The sequence below is a fragment of the Homo sapiens genome, chromosome 21 (assembly GCF_000001405.40).
Source record: "Homo sapiens chromosome 21, GRCh38.p14 Primary Assembly".
Classification (NCBI taxonomy): domain Eukaryota; kingdom Metazoa; phylum Chordata; class Mammalia; order Primates; family Hominidae; genus Homo; species Homo sapiens.
In genome coordinates this window covers 10,694,000-10,717,535 of record NC_000021.9, presented here as the reverse complement: position 1 = coordinate 10,717,535, position 23,536 = coordinate 10,694,000, and the positions used below count along the sequence as shown (strand labels likewise).

The window sequence follows — 23,536 nt, the reverse complement described above, 5'->3', positions numbered from 1 at the left end:
AATGGAATAAATTGGAGTGGAGTGGAGTGGAGTGGAGTGGAATGGAATGGAAGAGATTGGAATGGATTGGAATGGAATGGAATGGACTCAAATGGAATGGACTGAAATGGAATTTACTGGAATGGAACGGACTGGAATGGAATGCACTCGATTGGGATGGACAAAAATGGAAGTTCTCCAAAGTAATGAAATTGAATGGAAAGGAATTGAATGGAATCGAATCAAATGGAATGGAATAGAAAGGAAAGGAATCGAATAGCATCAAACGGAATAGGAAGGAATGCGATGAATTGGAGTTTAGTGGACCGGAGTGGAATGGTATGGCGCAGAAGGGAATTGAATGGAGTGAAGTGTAGTGGAATAGAGTGGAATGGAACGGAATGGGAAGAAATTTAATTGGATGGAGTGGAGTGGAGAGTAGTATCCAATGGAAAGGAATGGAAGGTAGTGGAGTGGAGTGGATTGCAATGGAGTAAAATGGAATGGAATGGAATGGAAAGGAATGGAATTGAGTGGAATGGACTGGAATGGAATGGAATGAAATGGACTCTAATAAAATGGACTCGACTGGAATGTACTGGAAGGGAATGGAAATGATTGGAATGGAATACAATGGAATGGAGTGGAATGGACTCGAATGCAATGAACTCGAATGGAAGGGAATCGAATTGAATGGACTATAATGGAATGGAATCAAAGGGAATGGAATCAAATGGCATCGAATGGAATTGAATGGAATGCGATGAAGTGGAGTGGACTGGAGTGGAGTGGAAGGGAATTGAATGGAATGGAATTGAGTGGAATGGAATGGAATGGAATGGAATGGAATGGAATGGAATGGAATGGAATGGAATGCAATTGAATTGGAAGGAATAGAATTGAACTGAGTGGAGTGGAGTGGAGTGGAATGGAATGAAGTGGAATGGAATGGACTGGAGTGGAATGGAATGGAATGGGGTGGAGTGGAATCGATTGGAATGGAATGGAATGAGGACTGGAATTGAATGGAGTGGAGTGGAATGGAGTGGAATGCAAAGGAATTGAATGGAATGGAGTGGAGTGGAGGTGAATAAAGTGTAGTGTAGTGGAGAGGAATGGACTGGAATGGAATGGAATTGAATTAAATGGTGTGGAATTGAGTCGAATTTAATGGAATGCACCAGAGTGGTATGGAGTGGAGTGGAATGGAGTGGAATGGAATGGAATGGAAGGGAATGGAATGGAATGGAAGGGACTGGAATGGAATGGACTTGAATGGAAGGGAATGGAATGGAATGCAATTGAATGGAATTGAGTGGAATAGAATTGAATTGTATGGAATCGAATGGAAGGGAATCGAATGGCATCAAATGGAATCAAATGGAATGCGGTGAAGTGGAGTGGAGTGGATTGAAACGCAGTGGAATGGAATGAGGTAGAATGGAATTGAGTGGAGTGGAGTGCATTGGAATGGGTTGGAATGGAATGGAATTGGAAGGAGTGGAATTGAACGGATTGGAGTGGAATGAAAAGGAGTGGAAAGCAATGCAATGGAATGGAGTAGAGTGGAGTTGTGTGGAGTGGAGTAGTATGCAATGGAATAGAATGGAATGGAATGGATTTGAAAGGAATGGAATGGAATGGATTCGAATGTAATGGACTGGAATGAAATGGTCTGGAAAGGAATGGGCTCGAATGGAATGGACTCGATGGAATGCACTTGAAGGGAGTGGACTGGAATGGAATGGACTGGAATATAATGGACTTGGATGGAATGGATTTGAATGGAATGAACTCGAAAGGAATGAACTCGCATGTAATGGACTCGAATTGTATGGAATCAAATAGAAGGGACTCGCATGGAATGGATGAGAATGGAATGGAATAGAATGGAATGGAGTCGAATGCAACGGAATAGAATAGCATCAAAGAGAATACAGTGGAATGCGATGAAGTGGAGTGGAGTCGAGTGGAATGGAGTGGAATGGAATTGAATGCAGCAGAGCGGAGTGGTGTCAAATGAATTTGAATAGAATGGAATGGTAAGGAATAGAATTGAACCGAGTTGAGTTGAGTGGAGTGGAATGGAGTAATATGCAAAGAATGGAATCCAGTGGATTGGAATGGAATGGAATGGAGTGGAGTGGAATGGAATGGGGTGGAAATAGTGGAATTGAATGGAATGGAGTGGAGTGGAGAGATGTGGAGTGGAGTGCAGTGGAATGGATTGGAGTGGAGTGGAGTGGAATGCAATGAAGTGAAATGGAGTGGAGTGGAGTGGAATGGAATAGAATTTAGTGGAGTGGAGTGGAATGGAGTGAAATGAAATTGAATTGGATTGAATGGAATTGAACGGAGTGGAGTGGAATGCGGTGGAATGCAATGGAATGGAATAGAATGGATTGGAGTGGAGTGGAATGGAATGGAATGGAATGAAATGGAATCGAATGTTATGGACAGGAATGTAATGGACTAAAAAGGAATGCACTCGAATGGAATGTCCTCGAATGGAATAGACTCTTATGAAATGGAATCATATGGAATTGAATTGAGTGAAATGGAATCAAATGGAATGGCATCGAATGGCATCAAATGGAATCAACTGGAAAGAGGCATCGCATGGAATGGCTTCCAATGGAATCAAATGGAAACAAGTGGAGTGGAGTGGAAAGTAGTGGCAAGGAATGGGGTGGAATGGAATTGAATGGATGGGAATGGAAACCAGGTAAGTGGAATGCAAAGGAACAGAATGGAATGGAGTGGAGTGGAGAAGAATATAGTGAAATGGAATTGAAAGGTATGGAATGAAATGGAGTGGAATTGAATTGAAGGAAATGGAATGGAATGGAATGGAATGCACTGTATTGGAGTGGAGTGGAATGGAGTGGAATGAAGTGGAAGGGAATGGAACGGAATGGAGAGGAATGGAATGGAGTGGAATGGATTGGAATTGATTGGAGTGGAGTGGAGTGGAGTGTAATGGAGTGGAATGCAATGGAATGGGAAAAAATGTAATTGAAAGTAGTGGAGTGGAATGGAGTGGAAAGAATGTAATGGAATGGAATGGAGTGGAATAGAGTGGAATGAAGTGGAGTGGAATGGAGTGGAGTGGAGTGGAATGGAATGGGAAGGAATGGAATTCAATGGAGTGGAGTGGAGTTGAGAGGAGTGGAGTGGAGTGGTATGCAATGGAATGGAATGGAATTGAGTGTTGTGGATTGGAGTGGAGTGGAGTTGAGTGGAATGGAATGGAATAGAGTGGAATGGAATGGAAAAGAGTAGAATGGAGGGGAGTGGAATGGAAAGGAGAGGAGTGGAATGGAAAGGAATGGAATGGAATCAAATAGAATTTACAGGACGGAAATGGAATAGCAAGGAATGGACTCGAATGGAATGGACTTGAATCGAATGGCCTCAAATGGAATGGAATTGAATGGAATGGAATTGAATCGAATGGAATGTAACGTAATGAAATCGAGTGAAGTGGAAATGAATGGAATGGAATCAAATGGCATCGAATCGAGTCAAATGGAATGCAATGAAGTGGAGAGGAGTGGAGCAGAATGGAGTGGAATGGAATGGATTGGAATGGAATTGAATGGAGTGGAGTGGTGGTCAGTGGAATGGAGTGGAATGGAATGTATTGGGAAAGAATGGAATTGACAAGAGTAGAGTGGAGTGCAGTGGAGTGGAGTAGAGTGGAGTGCAGTTTAATGGAGTGGAATGGAATGGAATGGAACAGACAGGAATGGAATGAAAAGGAGTGGAGTAAAATTGAGTGGAAATGAATAGAATGGACTGGAAATTAATGGCATGGAATGGAATGGAATGGACTCAAATTGAGTGGACTCGAATGGAATGGACTGGAATGGAATGGACACGAATGGAATGGAATGTAAGGGAATGGAATCAAATGGTATGGAATCAAATATAGTGGAATTGAACGGAATGGAATCAAATGCACTGGAATCGAATGGTATGGAATCAAATGGCATTGAATGGAATCGCATAAAATGCTGTGAAGTGGAGTGGAGTGGAGTGGAATAGAGTGAAATGGAGTGGAATGGGTAGGAATGGAATTGAACACAGTGAAGTGGAGTGGATTGGAGTGGAATGGAATGCAAAGGAATGAAATGGAATAGAATGGAATGGAATGGAATGGAGTGGAGGGGAGTGGATTGCAGTGGAGTGGATTGGAGTGTAATGGAGTGGAATGGAATGGAAAGGAATGGAATGGCATGGAGTGGAATGGAATGGAATGGGAGAGAATAGAGTAGAAAGGAGTGGAATGGATAGGAGCAGAGTAAAATGGAATGGAAAGGAATGGAATGGAATGGAATGGAGTGGTGAGGAGTGGAGTCGAGTGTACTGCAGTGGAGTGGAGTGGAAAGGAATGGAATGAAATGGATTGCAATGGAATGGAATTGATTGTAGTGGAGTGGAATGCAATAGAGTGGAATGTAGTGGAATGGAATGGAACAAAGTCAAGTGGAATGGAGTGGAGTGGAATGGAATGGAATGGAATGGAATGGAATGGAATGGAATGGACTCGAATAGAATTGAATGGACTCAAATGGAATGGACTGGAATGCATTGGAATCAAATGGAATAGACTCGAAAGGAATGGACTCAAATGGAATAGAATCGAATGGAATGAAATCGAATGGAATGGAATTGAATGGAATGGAATCGAAAGGAATGGAATCAAATGGCATCGAATGGAATCGAATGGACTGCAGTGAAGTGAAGTGGAGTGGAATGGAGTGCAATGGAGTGGAATGGAGTGGAATTGAATGTGGTGAAAGGGAATTGAATGGAGTGGAGTGCAGTGGAGTTGAATGGAGTGGAATGGAATTTAATGGGAAGGAATGAATTTGAATGGAATGGAGTGGAGTGGATTGGACTGGATTGCAATTGAATGGAGTGGAATGGAGTTGAGTGGAGTGGAGTGGAATGGAATGGAATGGAATGGAAACGACTGGAATGCAATGGAGAAGAATGGAATGGACTCCAATGGAATGGATTCGAATGAAATGGAATGGAATGGAATTGAATGGACTCAAATGGAATGGAATGGAATGGAATGGACTGGAATGGAATGGATTCGAATGGAATGGACTCCAATGGAAAGGATTGGAATGGAATGGACTCCAATGGAATAGAGTTGAAAGGAATGAACTTGAATGGAATGGAAACGAGTGGAATGGAATCAAAAGGAATGGATTCAAGAGCAAAGAAATCGAATACATGGTATCGAATGGAAAGGATTAGAAAGCAATGAAATCGAATGCAATGGTGTCGAATGGAATGGAATCGAATGGCATGGAATGGATTGAGGTGAAGGGGAGTGGAGTGGAGTGCAATGGAGTGGAATGGAATGCGGTGGAATGGAATTGAATGGAGTGGAGTGGAGTGGAATGGAGTGGAATGGAATAGAGTGTAGTGAAATGCAATGGAATGGAATGGAGTGGATTGGACAGGAGTTGATTGGAGTGGAATGTAATGGAATGGAAAGGAGTGGAGTGGACTGGAGTGCAGTGGAATGGAGGGGAATGCAATATAATGGAAAGGAATGGAATAGACTCGAATGGAATGGACTCGAGTGGAATGGACTGGAATGGAATGGACTCGAACAGAATGGACTGGAATGTAATGGACTCTAATGGAATGGACTCGAATGGACCGGAATCAAATGGAATGGAATCGACTGGAATGGAACGGAATCCAGTGGAATGGAATGGAATGGCATCAAATGGAATCGAATAGAATGTGGTGAAGTGGAGTGGAGTGCAGTGGAATGGAGTGGATTTGAATAGGGAGGAATGGAAGTGAATGGAGTGGAGTGGAGTGGATTGGAGTGGAATGTAATAAAAAGGAACGGAAAGGGAAGGTTGTAATTGAACAGTGTGGAGTGGAGTGGAATGTAGTGGAGTGGAATGCAATGGAATGGAATGGAAGATAGTACAGTCGAATGGAGTGGAGTGGAGTGGAGAGGAGTGGATTAGAATGGAGTGGAATGGAAAGTAAGGGAATGAAGTGGAATGGAATGGAATGGCATGGCATGGAGTGGAATGGAATGGAATGGAATGCAGGCGAGTGCAGTGGAATGGAATGGAATGGAATGAAATGGAGAGGCGTGAAGTGGAGTGGAGTGAATTGGAGTGGAGAAGAATGGAATGGAATGGAATGGAATGGAGTGGAGTGGAGTGGAATGGAAGGGAATGGAATGGATAGGAATGGAATGGAGTTGAGGGTATAATAATGGAAGAAAACGGAATGGAATGGAATGGAGTGGAATGGAGTGGCATGGAATGCAATGGAATGGAATGGAGTGGAATCGAATCTAATGGAGTCGAATGAAATGGACTGAAATGGAAATGACAGGAATAGAATGCAGTGAAAAGGTATGGAATCGAATCGAATGGACTGGAATGGAATGGACTCAAATGGAATGGAATCAAATGGAATGGAATCGAATGGAATGGAATTGAGTGGAATGGAATCGAATGGATTCGCCTTGAATCAAATGGAATGCAGTGAAGTGGAGTGGAAAGGAATAGATTGGAAATGAATGGGGGGAATGGAATTGAACGGAGTGGAGTGGAGTGGACTGGAATAGAGTGGAATTAATTGGAATGGGAAGGGAGGGAATTGAATGGAGTGGAGTGTAAAACGATAGAGTGGAGTGGAGTGCAGTGAAATGGAGTGGAGTAGAGTGGAATGCAATAGAGTGTTATGGAATGCAGAGGAGTGGACTGGATTGGAATGGAGTGGAGTGGAGTTGAATGGAATGGGGTTGAACGTTGTGGAGTGCAGTGGAATGGGGTGGAGTGCAATGGAAAGGAATGGAGTGGAGTGAAGTGCAGGGGAGTGGAATAGAATGGAATGGAATAGGATGGAGTGGAGTGTTGTGGAGCATATTGGAGTCAAGTGGAGTGGAATGGGAAGGAATGGAATTGAATGGAGGGGAAAAGAACGGAATCAAATGGAAAGGACTGGAATGGAATGTACTCGAGTGGAATGGAGTCAAATGAAATGGAATTGGATGGAATTGAAAAGAATGAAATGGAATTCAATGGAATGTAATCGAATGAAAGGGAGTCGAATGGCATCGAATGAAATTGAATATAATGCGCTGAAGTGGAGTGGAGTGGACTGGAATAGAATGTGGTGGAAGGGATTTGAATGGGGTGGAGTGGAGTGGAGTGGAATGAGGTGGAGTGGAGTGGAGTGGAATGGAGTGGAGTGGAGTGGAATGGAATGGGAAGGAATGGAATTAAATGCATGCAATTCAGTGGAATGGAGTGGAACGCAATGGAATGGAATGGAATGGAGTGCAGTTGAGTGGAGTTGAGTGGAATGGAATGGAACAGAATGGAATGGAATGGAAAGGAATGGACACGAATGCAATGGACTGGAATGGAATGGTATTGAATGGAATGGATTCAAATGGAATGGAATGGAATCCAATGGAATGGACTCGAATGGAATGGACTGGAACGGAATGGACTTGGATGGAATAAAATCTAATGGAATGGAATCGAATGGATTGGAATCAGATCGAATTGAATCAAATGGAATGGAATCGAATGGAGTGGAACCGAATGGAAAGGAATAGAATGGCATCAAAAGGAAACGAAAGGAATGTGGTGAAGTTGAGTGGAGTGGAGTTTAGTGAAATGGAGTGCAGTGGAGTGGAACGGAGTGAAATGGACTGGAATGGAATGGAATGGACTGGAAAGGAATCAACTTGAATGGAATGGACTCGAATTGAATGGAATTGCATGGAATGGAATCGAAAAGAATGGAAAAGAATGGAATGGAATCGAATGGAATGAAATCAAATGGAATGGAGTCGAATGGAAAGGATTTGAATGGCATCGAATGGAATTGAATGGAATGCGGTGAAGTGGAGTGGAGTGGAGTGGAATGGAGTGAAATGAAATGGGGTGGAATGGAATTGAATGGAGTGGTGTGGTGTGGAATGCAGTGGAATGGAATGTAAAGGCAACGAATGGAATTAAAAGGAGAGGAGTGGAGTGGAGTGTATTGGAGTGGAGTGGAATGGAAGGGACTCAAGTGGAGTGGAGTTGAGTGGAATGGAGTGGAGTGGAATGGAATGGACTCAAGTGGAATGGAGTGGAGTGGAATGGAGTGGAATAGAATAGAATGGATTGAAGAGGAATAGAGTGGAGTGAAGTGGAGTGGGATGGAGTGCGGTGTAATGATATGGAATGGAATGGAATCGAATCGAATGGAATGGACTCGAAAGGAATGGAATCCAATGGAATGGACTTGAATACAATGGAATCGAATGGAATGGAATCGAATGAAATGCAATTGAATAGAGTGGAATTGAATGTCATCGAATTGAGGGGAATGGAATGCGGTGAAGTGGAGTGGAGTGGAGTGAAATGGAGTGGAAAGGAATGGGGTGAAATGGAATGGAATGCAGTGGAGTGGAGTTTAATGGAGTGGAATGGAAATGAATGGGAAGGAATAGAATTGAATGGAGTGGAGTGCCTTGGAATGCAATGGATTGGTGTGAAGAGGAGTGGAGTGGAAAAGAGTGGAATGCAATGGAATGTAACATAATGGAATGGAGTGGATTGGAATGGAGTAGAAAGGACTTCAGTGGAGAGGAGCGGAGGGGAGTGGAATAGAATGGAAAGGAAAGGAATAGAATGTAATGGTGTGGAGTAGAGTGGAATGAAATGGAATGGAAAGGATTGGAATGGAATAGAATGGAATGGAATGGAATGGACTCGAATGGAATGCAATGGAAAGGAACGGACTGGAATGGAATGGACAGGAATGGATTGGAGTCGAGGGGAAAGGAATCGAATGGAATGGAATTGAATGGAATGGGATAAATAGAATGGGATCAAATGAAATGGAATGAAATGGAGTGGAATGGAATGGCATAGAATGGAATCCAAAGGAATGCAGAGAAGTGCAGTGGAGTTGAGAGGAATGCAATGGAATGGAATGGAATGGAGTAGACTGGAGTGGAGTGGATTGTAGTGGAATTGAGTGGAGTGGAATGGAACGGAGTGGAGTGGAGTAGAATATAGTGTAGTGGAGTGGAGTGGAATGTAGTGGAATGGAATGGTGTGAAATGGAATGGACTGGAGTGGAATGGAATGGAAGGGAATGGAATGGAATGGAGTTGAGTGGTGTGGGATGGAATGCAATGGAATGGAATGGAGTGGAGTGGAGTGGAATGGAGTGGAGTGGAGTGGGGAGGAGAGGAATGGAGTGTAATGGAATGCAATGGAATGGAATGGAGTGGAGTGGAGTGAAATGGAGTGGAGTTGAGTGGGTTAAAAAGGAATGGAGTGGAATGGAATGCAGTGGAATGGAATATGGTGGAGAGGAATGGAATGGAATTTAGTGCAGTGGAGTGCAGTAAATTGGAGTGGTGTGGAATGGAATGCAGTGGAAGTGAATGGAATGGAATGGAATCGAATGGAGTGTAGTGGAATGGAATGGAATGGAATGGACTCGAATGGAATGGGCTGGAATGAAATGGACTGGAATGGAATGGACTCGAAAGGAAAGGAATCTAATGGTATGGAATCGAATGGAATGGAATAGAGAGGAATGGAATCGAAAGGAATGGAATCAAAGAGAGCAGAATCGAATGGCATCAAATGGATTCAAAAGGCATGTGGTGAAATGAGGAGGTGTGGAGTGGAATGGAGTAGAAAGGATTGTGGTGGAATGGAATTGAATGGAGTGAAGAGGAATTGAGTGGAATGGAATGGGAAGGAATGGAATTCAACGGAGTGGAGTGGAGTGGAGTGGAATGAAAGGAAATGGAATGGATTGGAGTTGAGTGGAATGGATTGGAGTGCAGTGGAGTGGAGTGGAATGCAATAGACTGGAATGGAATGGAATGGAGTGGAATGGAATGGAATGAAAAGGAAAAGAATGGAATGGAAAGGATTGGAGTGAAGTAGAGTGGAGGTGAATGGAGTGGAGTGGAGTGGAACAGAATAGAATGGAATGAAATGGAATTGAATGGACTCGAATGGAACGGAATCGAATTTAATGGAACTGAATGCAATGGAATCTAATGGAATGGAATGGAATGGAATGGAATGGAATGGAATGGAATGGAATGGAGTGGAATCGAATGGAATGGAATCGAATGGCAATGAATGGAATTGAACGGAATGCAGTCCACTGGAGTGCACAGGAGTGGAATGGAGTGGAATGGAATGGGGTGGAATGGAATTGAAGGGAGTGGAGAGGAGCAGGGTGAAATGGAGTGGAATGGAGTGGAATGGGAAGGAATGGAATGGGACAGAAAGGAATTGAACTTAGTGGAGAGGACTAGAAGGGAATGGGTTGGAATGGAATCAAACGAAATGAAATGCAATTGCATGGAGTGAAATGGAGTGCTAGGGAATGGAGAGGAATGGAATGGAATTGAATGGAGTGGAATGGAACGGAATGGAATGGATTGGAATGGAATGGAACGGAGTGGAGTGGAGTGGAATGGAATGGAATGGAATGGAGTGGAATGGAGAGGAAAGGAATGGAATGGAGTGGAGTGGTTTGGATTGGATTGCAGTGGAATGGAATGGCATGGAGTGGAATGGAATGGAGTGGAATGGAGTGGATTGTAGTGGAGTGGAGTGGAGTGGAGTGGAATGGAATTTAGTGGTATTAAAAGAAACAGGATGGAATGGAATGGTATTAAATGGGGTGGAGTCCAGATGATTAGAGTGCAGTGCAGTAGAATGGAATGGAATGGAATGGAAAGGAATGGAATGGAATAGAATGAAATAGACTCGAATGGAATGGACTCGAACGAAACGGAATAGAAATTACTGGAATTGAACGCAATGGAATTGAATGGAATGGAATCTAATGGAATGGAATAGAATAGAGTGGAATCGAATGGAATGGAATCGAATGTCATCCAATGGAATCGAATGGAATGGAATAGAATAGAGTGGAATCGAATGGAATGGAATCGAACGGCATCAAATGGAATCGAATGGAATGTGGTCCACTGGAGTGCAGTGGAGTGGAATGGAGTGGAATGGAACGGGGTGGAATGGAGTTGAATGGCATGGGGAGGAGCGGAGTGGAAATGAATGTAATGGAATGGAATGGGAATGAATGGAATTGGACAGAAATTAATTGAAAGGAATGTCGTGGAGTGGAACGGCATGGAGTGCAATGGAATTGAGAGGAATGGAGTGGATTGTAGTGGAGTGGAGTGGAGTGGAATGGAATGGAGTGGTATTTAATGAAACGGGATGGAATGGAATGGAATGGAATGGTATTGAATGGGGTGGAGTCCAGAGGATTGGAGTGGAGTGCAGTAGAATGGAATGGAATGGAATGGAATGGAAAGGAATGGAATGGAATGGAAGGAAATAGAATCGAATGGAATTGACTCGAATGCAACAGAATAAAATTTAATGGAATTTAACGCAATGGAATAGAATGGAATGGAGTTGAATGGAATGAAATAGAATAGAGTGGAATTGAATGGAATGGAATCGAACAGCATCAAGTGGAATCGAATGGAATGTGGTCCACTGGAGGGCAGTGGAGTGGCATGGAGTTGAATGGAATGGGGTGGAATGGAGTTGAATGGAGTGGAGAGGAGAGGAGTGGAATGGAATGAAATGGAATGGAATATGAAGGAATGGAATGGGACAGAAATTAATTGAAAGGAATGGAGTGGAGTGGAAGGGAATGGAATGGAATGGAATCAAATGAAATGGAATGCAGTTGAATGGAGTGGGATGCAGTTGAATGGAATGGAGTGGAATGGAGTGGAATAGAATGGAGTGGAATTGAATGGAATGGAATGCAGTGGAGTGGAGTGGAGTGGAATGGAGTGGTGTGGAATGAAGTGAAATGGAGTGGAGTGGAATGGAATTGAGTGTAGGGCAACGGAATGGAATGGAGTGGAATGGAATGGAACTGAAAGGAATGAAATGGAATGGACTCAAACGGAATGGACTCTAATGGAATGGACTCGAATGGAATGGACTCGAATGGAATGGACTGGAATGGAAGGGACATGAATAGAGTGGAATCGAATGGAATGGAATCAAATGGCATCGACAGGAATCAAATGAAATACAGTGCAGTTGAATGGAGTGCAGTGGAATGGAATGGGATGGAATGTGGTGGAATGGAATGGAATGGAACGGAATGGAGTGGAATGGAGTGGAATGGAGTGAAGTGGAGTGGAATGGAATGGAATGGAATGGAGTGGAATGGAGTGGAATGGAATGGAACGGAATGGAACGGAATGGAATGGAATGGAACGGAGTGGAACGGAATGGAACAGAATGGAATGGAGTGGAATGGAATGGAATGGAATGGAATGGAGTGGCATGCAATGGAGTGGAATGGAGTGGAATGCAGTGGAGAGGAGTGGAATTTAATGGAGTGAAGTGGAATGGAATGGAGTGAAGTGGAATGGAATTGAATGGAATGGAATGAAATGGAATGGAAAGGAATCGAAAGGAATGTAATTGAATGGCATCTAATGGAATCGAACGGAATGCGGTGAAGCAGAATGGAGTGGAGTGGAATGGAGTGGAATGGAATGGGGTGGAACTGAAATTAATGGAGTCGAGTGGAATGGAGTGGATTGGAATGGGAAGGAATGTGATGGAACAGAGTGGAGTTTAGTGAAAAGGAATGCAATGGAATGGAATGGAATGGAATGGAAGGGAAGGGAATGGAATGGAATGGAGTGGAAAACATGGAATGGAATTCACAGGACTGGACTGGAATGGAACGGAATGGAATGGAATGGAATGGAATGGAATGGAATGCAATCAAATGGACACGAATGGAATGGACTTGAATGGAATGGACTCGAATGGAATGAACTGGAATGGAATGGACTAGAATGGAATGAACTGGAATGGAATGGACTGGAATGGAATGGACTCGATTGTAAGGGAATCAAATGGAATAGAATCGAATGGCAGTGAATGGAATTGAATGGAATGCGGTGAAGTGGAGTGGATTGCAGTTGAATGGAGTGCAAACAATGGTTTGGAAAGGAATAGAATGGAGTGGAGCGGATTTGATTGGAATGGAATTGAATGGGAAGTAATGGAATTTAATGGAGTGGAGTGCAGTGGAGTGGAGTGGAGTGGAGTAGGGTGAAATGGAATGAAATGGAATGGAATGGCATGGAATGGACTGGAATGGAATGTAATCAAATGGAAAGGAATCGGATGGAAATAAATGTTATAGAATGGAGTGGAATCAACTGGAATGGAATTGAAAGGAATGGAATGGAATGGAGTGGATACGATTGAAAAGGAATCGAATGTCATCGGATGGAATCAAAAGGAATGCGGTGAATTGGAGGGGAGTGGAGTGGAAAGGAGTGCAATGGAATGGTGCGGAATGGAATGGAAAGGAGTAGAGTGGAGTGGAAAGGAGTGGAATGGCATGGAATGAAAAGGAATGGAATTTAATGGAGTGGAGTGCAATGGAGTGCCTTGAAATGGAATGCAATGGAGTGGAGTGGAGAAAAGTGGATTGGATTGGAATGGAATGAAACGGAATGGAATGGAATGCAACGTACTGGAATGGAAAGTAATCGAATGGAAAAGAATGGAATGGAATGGAATGGAATGGAATCAAACGGAGTGGAATCATGTGGAATGGAATCGAATGGAATGGAATCGAATGGAATTTAATCAAATGGCATCGAATGGAATCAAATGGAGTGCAGTGAAGTGGAGTGGAGTGGAATGGAGTGGAATGGAATGGGTTGGAATGGAATGGAGTGGAGAGGAGTAGATTGGAGAGCAATGGAATGCAATGGAATGGAATGGAGTGGAGAGGATTGGAGTGGAGTGGAATGCAATGGAATGGAAAGTAATTGAGTGGAGAGGAATGGAGTGGAATGTAGTTTAGTGGTGTGGATTCGAATGGAGTGGAATATAGTGGATTTGAGTGGAGTGGAAGGGAATTCACACAAGTGGAGTGGAGTTGAGTGGACTGGAGGGGAGTGAAGTAGAATGGAGTGGAAAGGAATGGAGTGGAATTTAAAGGAATGGAATGGAGTAGAGTGGAGTTGCGTGAAGTTTAATGGAGTGGATTGCAGTGGAGTGGAGTGGAATGGATTTGAAAGGAGTGGTGTGCAGTGAAGTGGAGTGAATTGGATTGGAATGAAAAGGAATGCAGTGAAATGAAATGGAATGGTGTGGAATGGAATGGAAAGGAATGGAAAGGAATTGACTTGAAGGGAATGGACTCAAATGGAATGGACTCTAATGGAATGGACTGGAATGGAATGGACTCGAATGGAATGGAATCAAATGGAATGGAATCAAATGGAATGGAATCAAATGGAATGGAATCAAATGGCATCGACTGGAATCAAATGGAATACGGTGCAGTGGAGTGGAGTGGAAAGGAGTGGTATGGAATGGAATGGAATGGAATGGAGTGGAATGGAATTGAGTGGAGTGGAGTGGAATGGATTGGAGTGGATTCGAGTGGAGTGGGATGAAATGCACTTAAGTGGAGTGGAGTAGAGTAAAGTGAAATTCAGTGGAATGGAATGGAATGGATTTTCATGGATTGGAGTGTACTGGAGTGGATTGGAGTGGAGTGTAATGTAGCGGAATTGAGTGGAGTGGACTGGAGTGAAACGGAGTGGAATGGAGTTCAATGGAGTGCAGTGGAGTTGAGTGCAATGGAATGGAATGGAATGGAATGGAATGGAGTGGAATGGAAAGGAATATAGTGGAATGCAATGGAATGGAACTGAAAGGAATGGAATGGAGTGGAATCGAATGGCATGGAACAAAATGGCACGGAACACAATGGCACGGAATCGATTGGCATCGAATGGAATTGATAGGATTGCGGTGAAGTGGAGTGGATGGAGTGGAATGGAGTGGAATGGAATGGAGTGGAATGGAATTGTAATGGAGTGGTGTGGAGTAGAGAGGAATGGAATGGAATGGAAAGAAGTTGAGTGCAGTGAAGTGGAATGGAAGGCTGCGGAATTGAATGGAAAGGAATGCTACAAATTGGAATGGAGTGGAATGCAGTGGAATGGAGTGAAGTGGTGTGGAGTGGAGTGGAGTGGAGTTTAATGGAGTGAAACGGAAACGAATGGAATAGAATTGAGTGCAATGGCATGGAGTGGAGTGGAGTGCAGTGGTTTGAAATGGAATGGAATGGATTGGAACAGACTGCAATGGAATGGACTGGAATGGAATGGAGTCGATTGGCATGGACGCGGATAGAATGGATTCAAAAGGAATGGAATCGAATGGAATGGAATCGGATGAAATGGAATCAAATGGAATGCAATCAAATGGAATGCAATCGAATGGAATGGAATCCAATGGCATTGAATGGAATTGAATGGAATGCTGTGAAGTGGGGTGAAGTTGAGTGGAATGGAGTGAAATGTAATGGAATTGGAAGGAATGGAATAGAATGGAGTGGATTGTACAAGATTGGAGTGGCAGGTAGTGGAATGGAAAGGGGTGGAATGGAATTGAATGGAGTGGATTGGAGTGGGGTGAAATAGAGTGGAATGGAATGGAATGGGAAGGAATGGAATTGAATGGAGTGCAGTGGAGTGGGCTGGAGTGTAATGCAATGGAATGAAATGGAATAGACTGGAGTGTAATGGAGTGGATTGGCGTGGAGTGGATTGGAATGGAATGGAATGGAGTAGATTTGAGTGGAATGAAGTGGAATTGAGTGGAGTGGAGGGGAATGGAGTGGAGTGGAATGGAATGGGAAGGAATGAAATTGAATGGAGTGGAGAGGAGTGGAGTGGAATGTAATGGAAAAGAATCCAGTGGATTGGAATGGAATGGAATGGAATGTACTCAAATGGAATGGACTCCAATGGAATGGACTCGAATGGAATGGAATCGAATTGAATGTAATCAAAAGGAATGGAATAAAATGGCTTCGAATGGAATCAAATGGAATGTGGTGAAGTGGAGTGGAGTGCAGAGGAATATAGTGGAAAGGAATGCGGTGGAATGAATTTGAATGGACTGGAGTGGAGTGGAATGCAGTGGAATGGAATGCAATGGGAAGGAATGAAATAGTAGGGAGTAGAGTTCAGTGGAGTTGACTGGAGTGGAATGCAATGGAATGGAATGGAATGGACTCAAATGGAAAGTTCTCAAACGGAATGGTACCGAATGGAAGGGAATCGAATGGAACGGAATGGAATGGAGTAGAATCGAATGGAATGGTAGCCAACGGAACGGAATCCAATGGAACGGAAACGAATGGCATCGAATGGAATCGAGTGGAATGCGGTTAAGGAAGTGGAGTGGACTGGAGTGGAATGGAATGGAATGGATTGGAATTGAATGGACTCGAATGGAATGGACCCGAATGGAATCAAATGGAACGGAATCGAGTGGAATGGAATCCAATTGAATGGAATCCAATGGAATGGAATCGAATGGCATTGAATGGAATGGAACACAATCGCATGGAATGGAATCCAATGGAAAGGAATCGAATGGCATTGAATGGAATGGAACACAATCGCATGGAATGGAATCCAATGGAATGGAATCGAATGGAATGGAATCAAATGGCATCGAATGGATTCAAATGGAATGCGGTGAAGTGGAGTGGATTGGTTTGGAATGCATTGGAATGGAATGGGGTGGAATGGAATTGAATGCAGTGGAGTGAGTTCAGTAGAATGTAGTGAAATTGAATGGAATGGGAAGGAATGGAATTGAACAGAGTGCACTGGAGTGGAGTGGAGAGGAATGCAATGGAATAGGGTGGAGTGGAGTGGAGTGGAGTGGAGAGGAGAGAAATGGTGTTGAGTGGAATGGAATGGACTCAAGTGGAGTGGAGTGCAGTTGAGTGGATACGAGATGAGCAGAATGGAGAGGAATGGAAAGGAATGTAACGGATTGGAGTGGAGTGGAGTGGGGTGGAATTGAATTGAGTGGAGTGGAGTGGAAAGGAGTGGAATGGAGTGGAATGGAAAGGAGAGGAGGGGAGTGGTATGGAGTGGAGTGGAATGAAATGGAATGGAGTGGAATGGAATGCAATGTAAAGGAATGGAGTGCAATGGAATGGACTAGAATGGAATGGACTCAAATGGAATGGAGTGGAATGGAGTGGGCGCGAATGCAATGATCTCCAATGGAATGCACTGGAACAGAATGGACTCGAATAAATTGGAATGGAATGGAATTGAATCAAAAGGAATGGAATCGAATGCCATGGAATTGAATGGAATGGAATTGAATGGAATGAAATCAAATAGCATCGAATGGAATTGAATGGAATGTGATGATGTGGAGTGGAGTGCAGTGGATTGGAGTGGAATGGAATGGGGTGCAACAGAAATGAATGGAGTGGTGGGTAGTGGAATGGAACAGAGTGGAATGAAAGAGAATGGCAAGGAATAGAATCGAACACAGTGGAGTGGAGTGGAGAGGAGGGGACTGGTGTGGAATGCAATGGAACGGAGTGGAGTGGAGTGGAGTGGATTTGAGTGGAAAGGAGTGGAGTGGACTGAAATGGAATGGAATGAACAGGAACGAAATGGACTCAAAAGGAATTGATTCAAATGGAATGGAATCGCGTGGAATGGAATGGAATGGAATGGAGTGGAATAAATGGAGTGGGATCGAATGGACAGGACTGGAATGGAATGGACACCAATGGATTGGAATGGAATGGACCCAAAAGTAATAGAATGGAATGGAATGGACTCAAATGGAATCGAAAGGAATTGAACAGAATGGACTCGAATGGAATGGAATGGAATGGACTTGAATGGATTGGAATGCAATGTACTCAAAAGGAATAGAAAAGACTCGAATGGAATGGAATGGAATGGACTGGAACTGAACGGAATGGACTGTAATGGAATGGAATGGAATTGATTGGATTTGAATAGAATAGAATGGAATGGAATGGACTCCAATGGAGTGGAATTGAATGGACTAAAATGGAATGGAATGAACTCGAATGGAAAGGAACGCAATTTAATGGAATGGATTCTAATGGATTGGAGTCCAGTGGAATGGAATGGAATGGAATCTAATGGAATAGAATGGAATGTACTCGAATGGAAAGGAATGCTATGGAATGGACTCGAATGGAATGGAATGGAATGGGCTCGAATGGAATGGAATGGAATTGAATGGTCTCGAAAGGGATGGAATGGAATGCAAAGGAATGGAATCGAATGGAATGGAATGGATTTGACTCGAATGGAATTGAATGGTATGGACCTGAAAGGAAAGGAATGGAATGGAATGTACTCGAGTAGTATGGAATGGAAACGTATAGACTCGAATGGAATGGTATTGAAAGGAATGGACTCGAATGGAATGGAATGGAACGGAATGGATTCGAATGGAACGGTTTGGAATGGAATAGACACGAATGAAATGGAATGGAATGGACTCAAATGGAACAGAATGGAATGGAATGGAGTGGACTCCAATGGAATGGATTGGATTCGAGTGGAACGCAATTGAATGGAATGAACTCAAATGGAATATAATGGAATCGAATGGACTCGAATGGAATGGAAAAGAATGGACTCGAATTGAATAGAATGCAATGGACTCGAATGGAATGGAGAAGAATGGAATGGACTCGTATGGAATGGAGTGGCATGGACTCGAATGGAATGGAATTTAATTGAATGGACTCGAAAGGAATGGAATGAAATCTACCCGAATGAAATGTAATAGAATCAAAAGCACTCGAAAGGAATGTAATGGAAAGGAATGGACTCAATGGATAGGAATGGAGTGGAATGGAATGGAATGGAATGCACTCGAACGGAATGGAATGGAATGGAATTGACTCGAATGGAATATAAAGGAATGGACTCGAATAGAATGGAATGGAATGGACTCGAATGTAATGGAGTGGAAAGGACTCGAATGGAATGGAAAGGAATTTAGTGGACTCGAATCGAATGGAATATAATGTTATGGAATGGACTCGTATGGAATGGAATGGAATGGGCTCGAATGGAATGGAATGGAATGGAATGGTCTCGAAAGGGATGGAATGGAATGGACCCGAATGGAGTGGAATGGAATGGAATGCACTCAAATGGAATGAAAGGGAATGGAACCGAATGGAATGGAATGGAATAGAATGGAATTGAATGAAATGGAATGGAATTGAATGGAATGGAATGGAATGCTATGGATTGGAATGGACATGAATGGAATAGAGTGGGATGGAATGGAAGGAATTCAAAAGGAATGGAATGGAATGGAATCCAATGGAATGGAAAGGCCAGGAATCGAATGGAATGGAATGGAATGGACTCGAGTGGAATAAATTGGAATTTAATGGAATTGACTCCAATGGAATGCAATGGAATGGTCTTGAATGCAATAGAATGGAACGGAATGGATTCGAATGAAATGCAATGGAATGGACTTGAATGGAATGAAATGGACACGAATGGAATGGATTGGAATGCAATGAACTCAAATGCAATAAAATGGAATTTTAATGGAATGGACACTAATAGAATGGAATGGAATGGACTTGAATGGAATAGACTCGAATGGAATGGAATGAAATGGACTAGAATGGAATGGAATGGAATGGACTCGAAAGGAGTTGGATGGAATACAATGGAATGGAATCCAACAGAATGGAACGGAATGGACTCGAATGGAATGGAATGCAATGGAATGGACTCGAAGGAATGGAATGGATTTGACTCGAATGGAATTGAAGGGAATGGACCCGAATGGAATGGAGTTGAATTGAATGCAATGGAATGGATTGGGCTCAAATGGAATGGAATGGAATGGAATGGAAAATAATGGAATGGAATAGAATGGGCTTGATTGGAATGGGTTTGAATGGAATGGACTCGAATGGAATGGTATGGAGTGGACTCAAATGGAATAGCACGGAATGGAATGGACTTGAATAAAATGGAATGGAATGGAATCGAATGGAATGGAATTGGCTTGAACGGAATGGAGTAGAATGGACTCATATGAAATGGAATGGCATTGAATGGACTTGAATGGAATTTAATGTAATGGAGTGGAATGAACTCCAATGGAATGGAAAGTAATTGAATGAAATGTACTCGAATGGAATGGAATGGAATGGACTCGAAAGGTATGGAGTGGAACGGAATGGAATGGGATGGATTGGAATGGAATGGAATGCAATGGAATGCAATGGAATGGACAGAAATGGAATGCAGTTGAATTGAGCTGACCCGAAAGGAATGGACTGGAATGGAATGGAATGCAATGAAATGCAGTGGTCTCAAATGGAATAGAACAGAACGGACTCTAATGGAATGGAATGGAATGGAGTCGAATGGAATGGAATGGAATGGATTCTTATGGAATGGAATGGAATTGAATGGACTCGAATGGAAAGGAATGTAATGGAATGAAGTGGACCTGAATGGAATGGAATGGAATGGAATGGAATGAAATGGACTCGAATAGAATGGAATGTAAAGGAATGAATTCGAACGGATTTGAAGGGAATTCAATTGAATTGAATGGATTCAAAAGGATTGGAATGGAATGTACTCGAATGGAATGGAATGGAATGGACTCTAATTGGAAGGAATCCCCTTGAAGGGAGTGGAATGGAATGGAATCAACTCGAGTGGAATGGAATATGGAATGGAGTAGAGTGGAATGGAATATGGAATGGAAAGGAATGGACTCGAGTGGAATGGACTGGAAAGGAATGGACTCGAATGGAATGGACCCGAAAGGAATGGAATGGAATGGACTGGACTCGAATGGAATGGAATGGAATGGAATGGAATGGAATGTACTTGAATGGAATGGAATGGATTGGACTCATATCAAATGAAATGCAATGGATTCAAATGGAGTGGAAAAGACTCGAATGGAATGGAATGCACTGGAACCTAATGGAATGGAATGGAGTGGACTGTAATAGAATAGAATGAACTGGAATGGAATGGAATGGATTTGAATGGAATGGAATGGACTCGAATGGAAAGGAATGCTGTCGAATGGAATGGAATGGAATGGAATCAACTGGAGTGCAATGGAATATGAAACGGAATGTAATGGACTCGAGTGGAATGGGCTGGAAAGGGATGGACTCGAATGGAATGGAATGGAATGGACTTGAAAGGAATGGAATGGAATTGAATGGAATGGAAAGGAATGGAATGGAATAGACTAAAATGGAATGGAAATGAATGCAATGGAATAGACTAAAATGGAATGGAATGGAATGGACTCAAATGGAATGGAATGGAAAGGAATGGAATGGAAGGCAATGGAAGTGAATGGAATGGAAAAGACTCGAATGGAATGGAACAGACAGGACCCGAATGAAATGGAATGGACTGTAATGGAATGGAATGGACTTGAATGGAACAGAATGGAATGGAATGGAATGGACTCAAATGGAATGGAATTGAATGTACTCGTATGGAATGGAATGGACTCAAATGGAATGGAATGGAGTTTAATGAAATGGATTCTAATGGAATGGAGTCCAATGGAATGGAATGGAAAGGAATGGAATCGAATGGAATAGAATGGAATGTACTCGACTGGACTGGAATGCAATGGAATGCACTCAAATGGAATGGAATGGAATGGTCTCGAATGGAATGGAATGGAATTGAATGGTCTCGAAAGGGATGGAATGGAATGCAATGGAGTGGAATCGAATGGAATGGAATGGATTTGACTCGAATAGAATTGAAGGGTGTGGACCCAAATGGAATGGAATGGAATGGAATGTACTCGAGTAGTACGGAATGAAAAGGTATGGACTCGAAAGGAATGGAATTGAATGGAATGGACTCAAATGGAATGGAATGGAAGGGAATGGAATGGAATGGATTCAAATGGAATGTATTGGTTTGGAATAGACACGAATGAAATGGAATGGAATGGACCCAAATGGAATAGAATGGAATGGATGGAATGGACTATAATGGAATGGATTGGACTCGAATGGAATGCAATTGAAAGGGATGGACTTGAAGGGAATATAATGAAATGGAATGGACTCGAATGGAATGGAAATGCGTGGACTCAAATGGAATAGCATGCAGTGGACACGAATGGAATGCAGTGGAATGGAATGGACTCGTATGGAATAGAGTGGCATGGACTGAATGGAATGGAATTTAATTGAATGGACTCAAAAGGAATGGAATGGAGGGACTTGAATGGAATGTAACAGAATGAAAAGGGCTCCAATGTAATATAATGGAAAGGAATGGACTCGATGGAGAAGAATAGAGTGGAATGGAATGCAATCGAATGGAATGAAATGGAATTGAATCGAATGGAATAGAAAGTAATGGACACGAATAGAAAGGAATGAAATGGAAGGGACTTGAATGCAATGCAGTGGAGTGGACTCGAAAGGAATGGAAAGGAATTTAATGTACTTGAATCGAATGGAATATAATGTTATGGAATGGACTCGTATGTAATGGAATGCCATGGACCTGAATGGAATAGAATGGAATGGAAAGGAATGGACTAGAATGGAATAGAATGAATGGACTCGAATAGAAAGGAATGAAATCGAATGGACTCGAATGCAATGGAGTGGAGTGGACTAGAATGGAATGGAAAGGAATTTAATGTACTCGAATCGAATGGTATGTAATGTTATGGAATGTACTCGTATGTAATGGAAAGAAATGGACCTGAATGGAATGGAATGGAATGGAAAGGCATGGACTCGAATGGAATAGAATGAAGTGGAGCCGAATGGCATGGAATGGAATGGAATGCACTCGAATGGAATAAAAGGGAATGGACACGAATGGAATGGTATGGAATGCAATGGAATGCAATGCAATGAAATGATATGGATTGGAATGGACAATAATAGAATAGAATGGGATGGAATGGAATCACTTCAAAAAGAATGGAATGGAATAGACTCCAACGGAATGGAAAGGCCAGGAATTGAATGGAATGGAATGGAACGGACTCGAATGTAACAGAATGGAACTTAAAGTAATGGACTCCAATGGACTGCAATGGAATGATCTCGAATGGAATAGAATGGAATGGAATGGACTCAAATTGAATGGAATGGAATGGACTCTAATGGTATGAAATGCACACGAATGGAATGAAATGGAATGGAATTAACTGGAATGGAATACAATGGAATTTTAATGGAAAGGAAACTAATGGAATGGAATGGAATGGAATTGAATGGAATAGACTCGAATGGAATGGAATGTAATGGAACAGACTTGAATGGAATAGAATGGAATGGACTCGAATTGAATGGAATGGAATTGAATGGACTCGAAAGGATTCGGCTGTAATACAATGGAATGCAATCCAATGGAATGGAATGGAATGGAATGGAACGGACTCAAATGGAATAGAATGGAATGGACTCGAATTGAATGGAATGGAATTGAATGGACTCGAAAGGATTCGGATGTAATACAATGGAATGCAATCCAGTGGAATGGAATGGAATGGACTCGAATGGAAAGGATTGCAATGGAATGGACTCGAAGGAATGGAATGGAATTGATTCGAATGGGTTTGAAGGG

General features: G+C 42.6%; 8 annotated features.

Annotated features, from left to right (window-relative positions):
- Positions 265–1,059: an enhancer, noted in NCBI's record as "OCT4-NANOG-H3K27ac hESC enhancer chr21:10795186-10795980 (GRCh37/hg19 assembly coordinates)". NCBI's record gives its function as "activates a minimal SCP1, AML or CMV promoter by ChIP-STARR-seq in naive H9 embryonic stem cells {active_cell/tissue: H9 hESC(naive)}" and the evidence as "EXISTENCE:reporter gene assay evidence [ECO:0000049][PMID:30033119]".
- Positions 1,060–1,854: an enhancer, noted in NCBI's record as "OCT4-NANOG-H3K27ac hESC enhancer chr21:10795981-10796775 (GRCh37/hg19 assembly coordinates)". NCBI's record gives its function as "activates a minimal SCP1, AML or CMV promoter by ChIP-STARR-seq in naive H9 embryonic stem cells {active_cell/tissue: H9 hESC(naive)}" and the evidence as "EXISTENCE:reporter gene assay evidence [ECO:0000049][PMID:30033119]".
- Positions 4,038–4,567: an enhancer, noted in NCBI's record as "OCT4-NANOG hESC enhancer chr21:10798959-10799488 (GRCh37/hg19 assembly coordinates)". NCBI's record gives its function as "activates a minimal SCP1, AML or CMV promoter by ChIP-STARR-seq in naive H9 embryonic stem cells {active_cell/tissue: H9 hESC(naive)}" and the evidence as "EXISTENCE:reporter gene assay evidence [ECO:0000049][PMID:30033119]".
- Positions 9,780–10,345: an enhancer, noted in NCBI's record as "OCT4-NANOG hESC enhancer chr21:10804701-10805266 (GRCh37/hg19 assembly coordinates)". NCBI's record gives its function as "activates a minimal SCP1, AML or CMV promoter by ChIP-STARR-seq in naive H9 embryonic stem cells {active_cell/tissue: H9 hESC(naive)}" and the evidence as "EXISTENCE:reporter gene assay evidence [ECO:0000049][PMID:30033119]".
- Positions 10,346–10,909: an enhancer, noted in NCBI's record as "OCT4-NANOG hESC enhancer chr21:10805267-10805830 (GRCh37/hg19 assembly coordinates)". NCBI's record gives its function as "activates a minimal SCP1, AML or CMV promoter by ChIP-STARR-seq in primed H9 embryonic stem cells {active_cell/tissue: H9 hESC(primed)}" and the evidence as "EXISTENCE:reporter gene assay evidence [ECO:0000049][PMID:30033119]".
- Positions 11,093–12,054: an enhancer, noted in NCBI's record as "OCT4-NANOG hESC enhancer chr21:10806014-10806975 (GRCh37/hg19 assembly coordinates)". NCBI's record gives its function as "activates a minimal SCP1, AML or CMV promoter by ChIP-STARR-seq in naive and primed H9 embryonic stem cells {active_cell/tissue: H9 hESC(naive and primed)}" and the evidence as "EXISTENCE:reporter gene assay evidence [ECO:0000049][PMID:30033119]".
- Positions 12,055–13,015: an enhancer, noted in NCBI's record as "OCT4-NANOG hESC enhancer chr21:10806976-10807936 (GRCh37/hg19 assembly coordinates)". NCBI's record gives its function as "activates a minimal SCP1, AML or CMV promoter by ChIP-STARR-seq in naive and primed H9 embryonic stem cells {active_cell/tissue: H9 hESC(naive and primed)}" and the evidence as "EXISTENCE:reporter gene assay evidence [ECO:0000049][PMID:30033119]".
- Positions 15,068–15,617: an enhancer, noted in NCBI's record as "OCT4-NANOG hESC enhancer chr21:10809989-10810538 (GRCh37/hg19 assembly coordinates)". NCBI's record gives its function as "activates a minimal SCP1, AML or CMV promoter by ChIP-STARR-seq in naive H9 embryonic stem cells {active_cell/tissue: H9 hESC(naive)}" and the evidence as "EXISTENCE:reporter gene assay evidence [ECO:0000049][PMID:30033119]".